This window comes from Homo sapiens, chromosome 4 (assembly GCF_000001405.40).
Source record: "Homo sapiens chromosome 4, GRCh38.p14 Primary Assembly".
NCBI classification, from domain to species: Eukaryota; Metazoa; Chordata; class Mammalia; order Primates; family Hominidae; genus Homo; species Homo sapiens.
This window is the reverse complement of record NC_000004.12, coordinates 102,544,292-102,559,949: the sequence shown is the minus strand read 5'-3', so window position 1 is coordinate 102,559,949 and position 15,658 is coordinate 102,544,292. Positions and strand designations below refer to the sequence as shown.

At 38.4% G+C, this 15,658-nt stretch overlaps 1 protein-coding gene across 12 annotated transcripts in view; it reads right to left on the bottom strand.

The window, feature by feature from the left end:
- NFKB1 (nuclear factor kappa B subunit 1) overlaps positions 1 to 15,658 on the bottom strand; it is a 115,944-nt gene that overhangs the window by 57,353 nt on the left and 42,933 nt on the right. The gene's annotated exons all lie outside the window — the stretch shown is intronic.

The window sequence follows — 15,658 nt, the reverse complement described above, 5'->3', positions numbered from 1 at the left end:
TTTTTTTTTAAAGGGACAGGGTCTTGCTCTGCCATTCAGGCTGGAGTACAGTGGTATGATCATGGCTCACTGAAGACTCAACCTCCTGGCTCAGGCAATCTTCCTGCCTCAGCCTCCTAGGTAGCTAGGACTACAGGTGCATGCCACCACACCTGGTTAATTTTTTTTTCCATATAGACAGAGTCTCACTATGTTGCCCGGGCTGGCCTTGAACTCATGGCCTCAAGGGAGCTTCCCACCTAAGCCTCCTAAAGTGCTAGGATTACTGGCATGAGCCACTGTGCCTGGCCTCTTTTCTGTATTTCTTACCATCTTTACTACACTACATGCATTTTCAAATTCTTCTTTAAAGTATAATATATATAATATTAATTCAAATCTTCAAAAAAATATCCTCTATCTGATCACTTCTCACCACCTTCACTGCTACTCCCTTGGTTTCCAGCCACCATCATCTGTCTCCTAAGCTTTTGCTCCTGTGTTTCCTCTGCTTGTCCTGTCTCCCCATGGCTTATTTTCCTGAGTGATCCTGTTCAAGCCATGTCATGCCATGCCATGTCTTATCACTCCTTCACTCAAAATCCTCCCAAAGTGAAAGCTGTTAAAGCTGAGTGATTAGTGCAAGGGGGCTCATTATACTATTCTGTGTTTGTATATGATTACATTTTTCTATGTTAAAAAGTTAAAACAAAAACCTTTAATATTTCTCTATATTAAAAGACAAAATCGTTATAATGGCTTACAAGGCCCTAGGCTATCTGACCATCTCATGTCCTCTCCGTCCTTTTTCTTCTTACTCCTATGCAGCCACATCAGTTTCTCACTGTTCTTGAACTTGCCAGGTGAGCAATCTTAGCTTTGGCACTTTCTATTTCTTCTGCCTAGAACACTCTTTCCAGGGACATCTGTATACCTGTATATTTCTTACCTGCTTTCAGGCTTTACATAATTGCCATCTCTCAAGGTGGCCTTCACTGACCACTCTACCCCTACCAAAACTTTGACCCCCTAATCCCTTGCTCCTTTCTCTGCTTAATTTTTCTCTATACATTAATAACCATCTAATAACTACACATTTCATGTATTTTGATTACTGCCTCTCTTCTCCATTAGGATGGAGGCTCAGAGTGGGGAAGCTGGGTGTGGTAGTGTGCACCTGTAGTTCCGGCTACTTGGGAGACTGAGGTAGGAGTGTCCTTTGAGCCCAGAAGTTCAAGGTGGCATTGGGCTATGATCGCACCACTGCACTCCAGCCTGGGCAACAGGGTGAGACCCTGTCTCTTAAAAAAATGGAATAAAAACAGTGAGGATATTGATTTATTCTCTGCTGTATCCTCAGTGCTTGAAATAATGCTTGTCATATTGTGGGCATTCAATAATTAATACACTAATGAATGCATAATTAAGACAGGATAAAATGTTATTTATGGAAGGCAATTACTAAAATATAAAGGGTTGGGTTAGGTGGCAGGTAGTGGGTGAGGAGTGGAGATAACTGTACTCTTTTTTTTGTTATTTTGTCTTTTAAAAAATGGCCAATTGAATACTATGCAGAAATGAAAAAGAACAAGATCATGTCCTTTGCAGGGACATGGATGGAGCTGGAGGTCATTATCCTTAGCAAACTAACACGAGAACAGAAAACCCATTATTACAGATACTGCATATTCTCACTTATAAGTGGGAGCTAAATGATGAGAACACATTGCCACATAGAGGGAAACAACACACACTGGGGCCTATCAAAGGGTGGAGGGTGGGAGGACAGACAGGACCAGGAAAAAGAACTAACAGATATTAGGCTTAATACCTGAGTGATGAAATAATTAGTACAACAAACCCCCATGACACGTCTACCTATGTAACAAACCTGCACATCCTGCACATAAAACTTAAAAGTAAAAAAAAAAAAAAAAAAGGCTAGATATCAATGTAGCATCTCAATAGGCTATTTAAATTAGAATATGATTATTACACACCAGAGCAGAACACTGGTCTAAATTGGAGGCAGGGTTTCTGGCTGGGGGCTCTGGTTGCTGCACTGGCCCTACAGTATCTGGTAAAAAGGAATCTAACCACTAAGAGGTAGGAATTCTGCCAGCTGTGAGAAAGTGAAGGGAGGGCAACTCTCGAATAATCATCCTTCGAAAACTAAGGCAGCAGTTCTTCCCTCAAATTCCAAGACACCCCCTTGTACTTCTCTTTTCCCACCCTAACTGCTATTGCCCATTAGGCATTCTCTCTTGTACTGATGAGTCTTGGCACCAGACTCAGATATTTCCTCTATGCTTCATTTTGTTGTTTCCCTCAGGGATCCAGGATTTGCATTTCTGGTCCATCTCAATTTCACTGTCTGTTATTCCTCAAATGAGAGGGCCCTTCTTTGATATTCACTGTGGTGATGGATAGGAACAACTACCCCACAGGACTTTATCAGGGGTAGTCCTGATAGTAGTGCAGGGGTACACCTCCAAGATCTCAAACTAGTGGAGTATGTTTCAATAAAGAGCACAGGCTTTGGAGTAAGACATAGCTGGCTCTGAATCTGGGCTCCCATGACCATCTGGGGGACTCTGGGAGAGTTACTTAACTTTTTTACTTGCTTTCTCATTTGTAGAATGTGAATACAAATATATAATCTCTAAGTTTTCTGAGGATTAAAGGAGGTAAAGTGTCTAGTACAGTTTTTGCTATATCAAAACCACAAAATAAATGACAGCAATTCTTATTTCTCTCTTCCTACCTTAAGCAGATATCTGCAGTTGAGATTCTCTCTTGACTTTAATGAGAAGGTAGAAGTCACTGCGTGCAAGTTCCTTCACTCTCTCTTCTCCTTACTGTCACTGAGGCTCAAAACATCCCTGTTACTTCACATATCCTCTCCTAATTCAGAGAAACATGTTTGTTCCCTTTTCCAGGGCTAACCATTCTGTTTTTACCCTTAATGTTTATTCCTGATCTTCTTGAATTACCCTTCTCTTTCTCTCTTCCAAAGGATTTTTTCCCTTGTCTACAGATGAGCACTGCTTTTCTTCCTTATTCTAAAAAAAAGCCCCTTCTGGATAATGATGATGACAACTGTAAAGGTTAACATTAATTGAAACCTATGGGCTGGGCATGATACCAAGAAATACTGAACGATTCTTTCATTTGCTCTTCTCTACAATCCAATGAGAAAGGTTCTTAAGAGGAACTTAAACCTGTTTGAATGCCATTCTATTTCTCCCTACAAAGTACATAAGAAAATCTCTAATTACTAATGCTGAACCATTACCACTTAATCTGAGGCCCTTTGCAAATGTAAGTAATCCCCCGATCCATCAAATGAAAAAGTGTGTAAAGGTCATGACAGATTCCATGTTTCCAAACCCACTAGCCATTTATTATTCCTCAACCCTACTTGACCTCTTTGGGAATGGGATATGTTACCATTCCCTCCTTGAAAGTCTCCCCCAACTCCCCATTTCACTGGCTGCTTTTGCTAAGGCACTCTTCTTCCTGCTCAAAGAGATGTTTCAGCAGAGATCGATGCTCAGTCCATTTCTCACCTTTATCGTGATCACTCCCTTGACATTCTTATCAAGTCTCCTGGATTGAATTGTCTACTCCATGCAGATGATGGCTAAATTGAAATCTCATGTTCTCATCTTCTTTTTAAGCATGTGCAAAATTTCCAGCTGTTTGTAGGGTATCTTCCTGTCCATAATACCGTTACAGCTCAATGTGCCCAAAACTGAACTAATCACCTTTCTTCTCAAAGCTACTCCACCTCCTGGAAATGGAAATACAAATGCTGCCTTCTAAAAAAGTGCAGCAAAATCGTCTTTTCATCTTGGATTCCTCTCTGTCTCTTGTCTTTTATGTTTAACCAGTTGCCAAACTTCAGCTGAGTACCACCCCAAAAATCTCAGTTTGTCCCTTTCTTCCATTCTCATTCCTTAGTTTATCTATCTTAGCTTGAACTCTTAGTTTAGCTCATGAAGAATCACTGCAATTCTTCCAACTAGTGTCTCTGGGCCTTTCCCTTCCAATATCAGTTAGCAGATTGCTACCAGATTTGTAGTCCTAAAGCACAATGCTGCTGATAATTTCTCATTCCTATATAAAATTTCTATAGCTTACCCATTTTCTAAAAACATACAGTTTAAATCCTTGCATGATTTGGCCTTATCTACTATCTCCAGCCTTCTTACCACCCTTGCCTTCCACGTGCTCTTCATTCCAGCAAATTATTTACTATTCTCCATTCGATCTCAGAGATTTCTACTTTTGAGCCTTTGCTGCTTTTTCTGCTGTGCTGTTTTCTCTCGTTAGATCTATGCTTTCATACATCTCTCCCTTGAATCCTTCTATAATCATCCCAACTAGCCGACTCTTAGAAATTTATCTTTACATTAGAGCAATTAGGTCATTTACTCTTTCATTCAAAAATTATCTTGTTCAACAATTCCCACATGGCAGCCGCAGGTGCTGGTTATGCTGGTGATTCAGGTATTTAAGGGCATATCTTCGTCTCTCTATTAAATGGATTGTTTCCTGAGGACAAAGGCACTATTTAATTTTCTCTGTTTTTCCAACCCCTAGAACAGAACCAGTACCTACTTAATCAATATTTGTTAAAAGAGCTAGTGAATAAATAAATAATTGTCTCCAGGCTACACTGAAAAAGGAGGGAGCAGAAAAGTGGTGTTCCCAGGCAACATTAGGAAAGGCTGAGGACAGTGGGGCCCAACAGGCTATCCAGCTGTTGAATGGTTACTGTCCTTTGGCAGGGTTCATCTCCCTAATCTAACTCTGAGGGATCCCTGAGGAGTTTCTGCAAAGTCCTAGCAAAAGTTGAGTACATGAAGCTGATTAACTTTTGGAATTTTACTAACTCCTCTGCTTGAAACCAGTTAGGAACACCTAACCCTGGCAATATTCTTATTCCTAAAAGGATTATTTTTTGAAGCCCTTGTACTCCCTTATGCTTTTCTACTTCGAGAAGCAATTTTCATTTACAGAGACACTGGCTGCAGAGATGCTAAAACATCTTAAATGTTTATAAATTCACCTCTCAGGTATTAATAGAATTCGACCTTGAGACACAGTTTTCCTATTGTGTGGGGGCTTGGCCAAGGAGGCAAACAATCACCAAGGGTTGGCTCTAGGTAAAACCAGAAGCGAGACTCAGAGATGTACTGCCCTGGCTGCTGGCCCTGTGTGATCTCACATTCACCACCAGCAGGGAGACTCCGCAAGACAGCTGCATGAGGAGGGCTTTCTCCATCAGCGTCCTAGAGACATGCTGTCATTCCCACTGGAACACAGCCTTAACTTCACAGTGTCAGTTTATGCTTCTGAGTCACTGAAAAATATCCCAGGAGTGCAAAAATAGGAAACATTAAACTCCCTAAAGTTGTAATTTAAGTATGATTCCGCTTGGAGAAAACAACAGGGATGACAGCACAGTTTATAGAGAGTCTGAATAAACTGTGCTTAACATAAATGTCTCAAAATTCAAGAATTTTGAGAATGTTCAAAATTTTCATTTCGGTATAATGGAAGAATGTTCTCTATTACACCAAATACATTTGTGTCAGGCACATCTTTTCCCAAATGTGGCATATTAAGCTTACCTTTCTCAAATATGTTTTAACTTCTTATTTATTTATTTACAGGCCTAGCCTGAAGTCTGCAAATTTTCAGATAAAAACATTTGGGTTAATTTTTAGTGCTGCAGTAGGTGGCCAGAGTTCTAGTCACCAGGTACTGCTATGATACTGCGTGAGTCACCTAACCTCTTTGGGCCTTTTAATTCTTCATTTGCAGAATCACTAGATAATGTCTCACTCATTTTCCAGCTCTAAAATTCTATGATTCCTAGTCATATGCATAGGACACAGAAGACAACATCCAAAGATCACATTTTCAAACTACAAAAAAAAAGTTTACCATCACAGAATTTCTGAGTTGGAAAGAACCTTATAGGTAAACTTAACTTTAAAATTGTGAACATTTTAAATACATTTCACCACAATTACAAACTGAGAAAACATACAATCAACACTCAAATTACCTGTTGCAATGGGACCTCTGATAGCATGGAAAATCAAAATTTAGAGACAAAGAAAAACCTTCATGTTAGGCAAAGATTTCAACTTTTGTCATTAAAACTGAGACTGAGTACCCAAAGTGTTTATTTTCAGTAAATCCAAGGAGGGCCCTGCCCTGGGTAGTTAAGTCCTGATAAGAATCTGTGTGTTCTGAGGATATGTCAGAAATGCTTCAATTACATAAGTGGAGAGAGAAAAAAAGACACGCAAACAAAGATACACTGAGAAATTTTAATCTAAGAGATTTTTTAAAAATCCTAATAACATAAAAATAATTAGAGGAAGTAGAACACATTAGATATGATCAAAGTGTGTCCAAAACAAAAATTCTAGGTTTCTCATTTATTCATTGAAAATAGAAATTATTAATGTAAATTTCTAACATTCTTTTAAAATGATTTTAAAGTCTTTAAACACATTGTTTTTGACTCAAATTTAATTTAAAATAATTAAGAATATCTCTGACTCTGTGATATCCAAATTTACTTGGGATTGAATATCACTGATTTCTTTTTTCTTAAAGGTATACAACCACCCTCATTATGTATTTTTCTTGCTTAGAAAATCTATTTTATCACTTTCACTGAAACCCACTGGCTAGAGAAGCAATTAGGTTCTTAATTATTGAAAATACTTAGAGACATCATTCGGTGTAGAATCTCCTTTGTACTACAGTAAATACAGCTGCCCTGTATAAAAATTTGGACCATGTTGGGAACAAAGCCAATTAACTGTCCCTTTCTTCAGAAGGAAAGTACATAAGATAAAGAGCATTTCAACTATTCTATTGTGATTTCCTGTGGAAAGCCCCTACTAAATTAAGAGAATTACAAGTGAGTAGAACTGGGAAATTTTCTTTGATTTCTTGGTGCTACTTTACTGGTCTTTTTACACTCTAGACATTAATAGGGCAAAAGAGAACACAATCTAAGTGTCAGACTGAGGTTAACCAAAATATTGTACCATCTACGTACTATGATGTAAACAAAAGTAGGAAGGGGGGAAACACCAAAGTTTCTCAAAGTTCTAGGATCAGCCAGTAATTTGGAAAAATGGTAGTACTTTAAACCTGCAAAAAAAACCCTTTTATGTCTTAACTTTATGTTGTTCAGCCTGTATAAACTGACTAAACACAAAGTATATGAAGTAAGTTATACATTCTACAGCTTGGATAAAGTAGTGTGTAAGCTATTAATTTCTATTATTTTGGGGGATCTGTCAGAAAATTGTAATTGTCCTATAACCAAATCTTGATTATCCCTTGTTACAGATTTATCAAGTTAAGTAAACATCTTTCTAAGGGCATACAAATAAAAAAGAAAAAAATTACTTATTGTAATACAAGTTAGCTTCCCTGCCCTGTAGTCTTCCTGGTCATTTTTGAACCAATTCAGTGACAATGAACTCACTTTGTCCTGAGGCAATACATTCCATCCTCAGACAGCCCTGACTGTCAGCAGCAACTGAAACCTCTATCGCCTGGGGCTTCCATTCACCGCTCCTTATTTCATCCTCTTGTGACAACAGGACACATTTAATCCTTTTTTCCCCATCACAGCCATTCATATATTTGAAGACAACCAAATCCTCCAGGCTATAAATTTCTCAGGCTCAGTAACTACTCCTCATTTGAATGAAGTTTGAGTTCTCTCACCATTCTGCTCTGAAGACACTCAAGTTGGTTTCTATTTCTCTACAAATGTGGTGCCCAGCAGTACTACACTGTATTCCTGGTGTGGCCTTTCATCACAGAGTGCAAATGAGACCACCACTTCCTTGGTCTTATGTATCGTGTTTCCATTAATGCAGCCTAATGAGGAATTACTTGTTTCGTAGTCACATTGCATTGCTGGTTCATGTTGAGTCTGTTATTAACTAAAACTCCTAGATCTCTTTGCATGCGTTGCTGCTAAATCATCTCTCTTCCACTCTGTACTTGTAATTTGTTTTCTGCATGTATTTATATCTTTTAAATATAATTGCTGAAGAATTGGGTCCATTGTCTCAGCTTTCAAAATTAATTTGAATTCAAATTGTTTGTTGTCTATCACTTCATGTCACCTGCAAATTTAGTAAGAACCTTATAGGGCTGTATTCAGGACAATGATAAAATATATTAAAGTGTTTGGTGAAAGATCCCTGGAACCTATCACTAGAAATATCTCTTCAGGTTGACATCACCAGCATGGGAGATGCTGTGAATCCCTGAACTACCAAAACAGGGATCTCCAGCATCTCACTATCTCACCCTTGTAGAAATCCTGTCATAGAAGACAATGATGTAGGTTTGGTGTGATTCGTTCTTCTTACGGTGACTGAGATAGCAGCTCTCTAGTTTCTAGTTTGAGAAGTACACCTGTCAAATTCCACTTGCATTCTATCACAAACAGAGAAGGGAGAGACTATCTAGCCAGGAGGTGATCTCAAGGAGGGTATATTTTCTCCCAGTCCACCTCAACACACACACACACACACATGCGCGCGCGCACACACACACACACACACACCAATTTAGAATATCCTTTGAAGAGGGATTCCTCCAGCAAATCCTGAGTAATACCCTGATTACTCTCTCACACATGTCTGTATCTTGGCTGTGGTGCCATGTAACCTGGGGGCTACAGAAAGATGATCACATTCATGTGTGTCAACACAGAGCCCAGCACTGTGCCTGGCAGGTGGTGTGCCTTGGATAAACACATGCTACATAAATGTAAGGAAGGTAGGAAGGCCAAGAAGTCTTTGAAATCTACAAATGAAATGTTCTGGGTTTAGATGGATTCGGGTGTCTGAAATAATTCAGAACGTACTTTAAATCAAGGCTCTGATTGATCCCTTTGGTTTTTATACACCTATTTTAAAAATTAATAGAACAACCTGACTTTATAATGATTTCTAAAGGGTCTAGTTAATCTCATATAAATGAAAGATGTGAAACTGACAAATGTTGATATTCAAAAAATAAAATTACTAAATCAACAGGGATGGGAAAACCCCTAAAATGGAATAGAAATAAAAAAATAGCTTAACTCTATAGCTCAATGGAAACATAAATACACAGAAGGAAAAAATCTAATCCAAGTAACTTTTGTACACATTACTCTGACTGAATGCTCTCTGTTGAATACATTTGGTCAAAAGAACTACAAAGAAATTTTGAACCGAATATAGTAAGCTTGCAGATATTGGTATAGCCATTCTAAAACTATTCTATTTTTCTACAAATGTGTGTGAATTATTGGACTGAGCAAAATGAGTAAGCATGCTGCTATCATTGATGATGAGGGTTTTCAGTTACTGAAGAAATATGGGATATGAGATACACATTTCATATCTCAAATCCAAATACAAGTATGGGATGAGGGGAGGGAGGGAAGAAGCCTGCAGTGTTGGATTGGAATTAGAATTATGAATTAGTGTATGAACTCGAGATTTTTAAAATAATCAATTTTGTAGCTCTGCCTAATGAAAGAGTCTAGAAAAACTTCTCCTGCTAAAAGGAACTAGGACTTCTTAGAGAGACAGACGATGCCTGGACTGGGGTAGTGAAGGTATAGGGTGAACCTAGAATAGCTTACAATTTCAGAAATAAGGAAAGTGTTAGGAAAAAAAAGATAGGGACATATCAAAAAGACATAGGAGCTAGCATGAAAGACTCCCACTGGCCAAGAATAGGACAATTTAAGAATCAAAATGAATAATGACAGGAATGGCTTATAGTACAATGAATAACAAAAGAATCCACGAGTTCATACTGATGCTAATTTTAATTTTTTTTAAAGAAGAATGAAGAAAGCTCTTTTAAAAAAACCAGGAAAAGTGACAGGAAGGATAGAAATAGAAAAATCACAAATTTATAACAATTATTGATAATTGATTTAGGAAATAATCATTCATGGATGCTAAAATCCACTGGAAGAAAGATGCTGAGGATGGTAGCTTATACCAGGGTGGCAGCATTGGAGGTGCTGAAGAATAATTAGTTTCTGAAAAAAGTGTGAAGGCACAGCCAATAAGACTACCTGATGGATTACATGTGGGATTTGAGAAGAAGAGAGGAGTCAAGGAAAACTCCAAGATTTGGGGCCTGTACAACTGGAAGGATGGAGCAACCACATTCCGGAAAGGGGAAGCTATGAGGCAGAGCAGATTGGTGGGGAAGATTTGAAATTCAGTTGTGAATATGTTAAGTCTACCAGACATCCAAGTGGCAATGTCAAACAAGTGGCTGAGCCTGGAGACTACATTTCAAAGTGGAAGTCTAGGCTGGAGAAACACCCCTCCCCCCATATATATATAATTAATAGAACTATATAACTCAACACCATGAAACTTAATAGTGTTAAGACTTAATAGTGTTAAGTTTTATATATATATAAATTCAATATATAAACAGAATATATATTATATGTATATAAAACTTACAACATAAGTTTTATACATATATAAAATGTACATATATAAATACATATATTAATCTATATTAATAGAATAATATATATTATTTTATGTATATAAAACAACACCATGAGAGGAAGGAAATGGAGAAAGAGAAGCCATTCTTGGTCAAGTTACTCATTAAGCCTCAGTTTCTAAGCTAAAACTTGGGATAAAACCATCTTTTGTGCAGAAGTGTATAAGGATAACAATAACAGATACATAGTAAGAACTCGATAAATGACACATGAGAATAACAAAGCATTTTTCTTGTTATTTCTATACTAATTGAGTATTTCTATGATTAACTGAGGCAACAATGTTACCATGTGATCTCTTTCGGAGTGTATTATCAGGCTGAAATGGGCATCATCCTATACTCGTAGGGCTACTGGCTTATAACCTCAATGCCACAATATGTTTGTAGTGGGCTGAATGGTGTACCCCCAGAATTCACATCTACCCAGAGCCTCAGAATATTGTATTATCTGGAAATGGGGTCGTTGCAATTATGATTAGTTAAGATGAGGTCACATAGGGTTATGGATGCCGTAAACACAATGACAGGTCTCTAAGAGAAAGAAGAGGGAGATTTGGACACAGGGACGCAGAGAGAAGACAGTATTCATGTGAAGATGGAGACAGAAATTGGAATGATGCAGCTGCAAGTCACAAACTGCCATGAATTGTCAGCAACCACAAGAAGCTAGAAACAGGCAAGGAAGGATTATTGCCTAGAGCCTTCAAAGGGGGCACGGCCCTGCGAAGACCATGATATTGGACTTCTAGCATCCAGAACTGTGAAAGAATAAATTTCGGTTGCTTTAAACCACCTAGTTTGTGGTAACTTGTTATGGCAGCTGGCAGTGAATGCTTTTAATTTTATGCTGCCTTTGCATCCATTCTGAATATAAGCTGGACTTTCTCATACCTAAAGCAGGGCTCAGTGACCGTCGACGCAGTTTCCAGTACTACACCTCCTCCCGGTTCCTCTATGTGGCCAATCTAGATATCTGCATTATACAATTGCCACCTGGTGATCGCCTCCCCATGGGCCAGCTACATATAGCCTACCTGACTGGTCTTCACTGATGCTCACACCTCGCATGGACTGTGCAGATATGCCACAGTGACTTCTTCTTCATCACACTGTGACCTCCTGGAACTCATACCTGCTTGCTTGAAACCCACCTATTAAAACTCCCTGTGGGAAACCTGTTTGGATAATGTCCTGGACCCAGTAAAGGCAATGGCCCGTGAGTTCCTTTCTCTCTCTTTCTCCACATGCTCCCTGATCTTGGTGTGTGGCCTTCCCTGGAGTGCTGTGTGCTCCCCAGGACCACTAAGTAATAAAATCTTTATTTCCATCTTGTGTTTCTCCTGATTATGGAAGGGGTGCTCTCTATCATAAGTATCCTAAATTAAAACACTGCCCTACAAAACTAATACAACTAAGGAGCCTAACAAGAATTTAATAAATTCCTTTCTGGTATCCTACCTATGAGATTTTCATAAGAAATCATGTGTTACATCTAAAAGAAAGCTTTTGACACAGCTGATCTCAGTCTCCTATCTTAACCCCAGACAGAAGAAAGGATATGGGGTCAATATACAGTGGAAGCAATACTGATTAGAGAGACTGTACTAAAAATAAATTAATAGACTGGTGAAGGTTTTGTGTAGCTCCATGAATCCATAAATGAACCAGCAAAGCTGCCACTCAATATTTGTAGTAGTGTATTTGGTTATATAAAAATAGAAGCAACTGTCATTTTTAAGTGCTTACTGTGTGGCATGTACTGAATAACTTGATTTACACATATATCCTATGACATAGGTATTATTTTTTCAGTTTCATAGATAAGGAAGCTGATGCTTAGCCAAGTTAAGTAACACTGCAAGTCGCAAAACTAGGAACCAACATCATGCCCAGCCCTGAACCAAATGACTTCAGAGCCAATGCTTTAAAACCTAAAAGTGTGGTCCACAACCACCTAAACCTCACCCCAGACCTAGAAACTGTAAATGTAGAGCCAGAAATCTGCAGTTGTAATACCTCTTTCTAGGACTTCAACTAGACACCTCTTACTCCTTCTTTTGTACCTGCCAGCTCATCCTTTCTTTCAAATTATCCATGTTAACTATGTTGAATCATTTTCAGTGTCGCACATTTAATTTTAAAAATTCGACTTGGTTTTATTTTCATTCTGCCTGGTCTGTTTTCTATTCCAAACTTATTTTGTATTTATATATCAAACAATTGGTAATTCAATTATCTGAAGATTCTGAGGATTTAATTCTGCTTTTCATTGTTCTGCCAGTTCTTAAACAGAGTGGCTTATTTGCATACATATTTTCTAATTTTTGATCAGGAGCTCATGATTCTTTGAGCCACATACATTTTTATGCTTTTCTGCAAGGCTCTGAGGGTATCCCCAATGTGGAACAACTTCATATTCATTTCTAGACTTGGGGTTTCCTACTCTATTCAGGGAGCATACACTTAACTCTGAATCTGTAAGAATTGGGCTTGTAGTTATTGATTCTCAAGAGAGGCATTTTATCTTCTGATTCCCCCTAGGCTGAGACAGGCAACTTCCTCATCACCTCTCTGCCTGAGGATCACCCATCAACAGAAACTATAGCCCTGAGAGAGTCCTGAATTAAGTGGGTGATTGCAGTTTCAATTCCTCAGATTGGAAAGGCCCAAGGCCTTATCTTTTGTCTCTAGGAAGCTGTTAAAAACCAAGCTTCTTGATTATCTAGGTCAGCAAATATTTCCAGGGCAGCTGTGGCCCCAAAGTCCACCCATATCCTATTGTGTTTTCCCAAAGTTTTCTTTTGTCTTACGGCGCCCCAGTAGTTTTCATACTTTCTAATAAACTCAGCTATGCATTAAAGAAAATGTTATATTTTTTTTCTAGTGTTACTAAGTGTATTGTAGTGGGAGAATTACCTACTCTACCAGGCTTTGGAAATGGAATAAAATCGATATTTTAAGTAGGTTTTGAAGCAGATTTTTATGGGTAGTAAGGTTTGAGAGCCACACTGCACTGTCTCCCATAGAGCTCCTGAGAAAACATGCTGGAAACTGTAGCTAAGTAAGACAGCTTCACATTTTTTTTTTTCCTTCAGTCCAATGTTCTGCTACTCAAGGTGGAGTCAGGTGTTAACCAATCTTCTTTAAGTCATGGATGAATAAATAAAGCTAAAGATACATCTATATGCTTCCACCCAGGCTTTATAAAAAGAAGCTAATATTTGTAATCACTACAAATATTAGCAATAATTTGAAATCCTGTTTTTTTTCTTTAAAAAATTTTTTTTATAGAGACAGGGTCTCACTATGTTGCCCATGCTGGCCTCAAAATCCTGGGCTCAAGCAATCCTCCTGCCTTGGCCTCCCAAAAGTGTTGGGATTATAGGCGTGAGCCACTATGCCCAGCTGAGGTTTATCCTTAATATTATGTTATAAGCAGTTTTCCACGTTGTGCCGTATCCTCTTAATTATCTTTTTAAAACACAGTGGCATAATATTCTATTCCACGGTATACATTGAATATCTATTCAATTATCTGTTGTAATATGTTGCCATTATATAATGGCATGTATTCTTAGAAACTGTCATAGAATTATTGTAGAATCCAAGATTGGCTAGATGATGCACTGTGATTTAGCAATTGTGCAGTGGTTCCCAGGCGTCTCTGTGGTTGAAACATTTTTGGACGATTCTGAAGCCCACCCATGATTGTGAACCATAGATTTAAAAGATTCCTGCAAAGTAGAAACAGATCCTTAACATTATGATAATGAATGGTATTCCACAATGGTTAAGAGTGCAGGCCCTTAAACCATATGGCATGAACTGAAATCTTGGGCTCCATCTCTAAAAGCCTGTGAGACCCAAGTTAAGCTTCTTAATTTCTCTAGGCTTCAATTTCCTCATTTATAAAATGCGGATCACAGAACCTGCATCAGTGGATTACTGTGATGATTAAATGAGATGATGTAAGTAAGCACATCAAGCCATTATTATAATCATTCTGTTGGGTAGAAGGGGACCTAAAGGCAAAAAGCATTGTCTGTGAAAGTCTGCAAGCACTTTCCAGCCCATGTCCATGAGACCCCAGGGAGGTGAAGGTAGTCTGGAGGCTTCTTATTTGGAATCCATCTGGAGGGTGGGGAGAAAAGACTGAGACTGCAGGGTAGCCTCCAGCTTCACCTCTGGACCTGCAGATGGGTTGAAAAACAACTTGTCTGTGGAGGAGGCAGTGGAACACATGTGGGGATCTTAGTGCTTCTGTGTGTTCACTTGACCTTATCAAGGCGAATTGCCAATATGTGACTTTATGAGGTCAAGACTCCAGAATGGAATGCCGAGAGTTGCCCCACTATACCTTCAGACTGAGACCACTGGGTTTAAAAGAAGCCACCAGAGATTTGTTTCGGATTGAACAGTGGTCCCAGAAATAATCATGTGTCAAGGAAGAGTGGAGGGCAGAAAAATGGGAATGGCCAATAGAGGAAGGTCACCAAGCCAGAACTGACAAAACAAAATTTAAAATTCAGACAGTTCTTAAATTCAAGGAGTGTATATCTCTCCTAATAATTTCTAAGGGTTAAGCTTCCCAGCTATTATCTGTGTGATAGGTTTTCTCTAATGAGTAGCTTTCTCCACTTTATAATAGTGACTTTGAATATATACAGCGGATTTAGAGGGCTATTTAAAAAAATATTTTACAAAGTAATATTTTGTTTTAGGACAAAATACAAAACTTCTGAACTACTTGCAACAAAAATTACCTATAAGTCTCAATTGTGGTTACATATGGGAGGGAGTTTTGTCTGCTTGTCTAGAGCAGTACCTGACACACAGTGCTCAATCAATATTTGTTCAATGAATTGCCTTCTCTCTTTTGGCTTCAATCACTAATGGTGAGCTTCATGCTTAATCTGCAAATGCATGGAAGAGCAAGAAAGAAAAAGCAGTGAAGCCCATTCAACTCTTTTGGCCATCAATTCAGTTTCATCTTTTTTCCACCTACTGGAAAACTGAAGGGAGGCTTTCTGGGCTATGTGTTGAGCAACATAAAGCATTTCACTTCATTTAAAATTGATTAAAAATG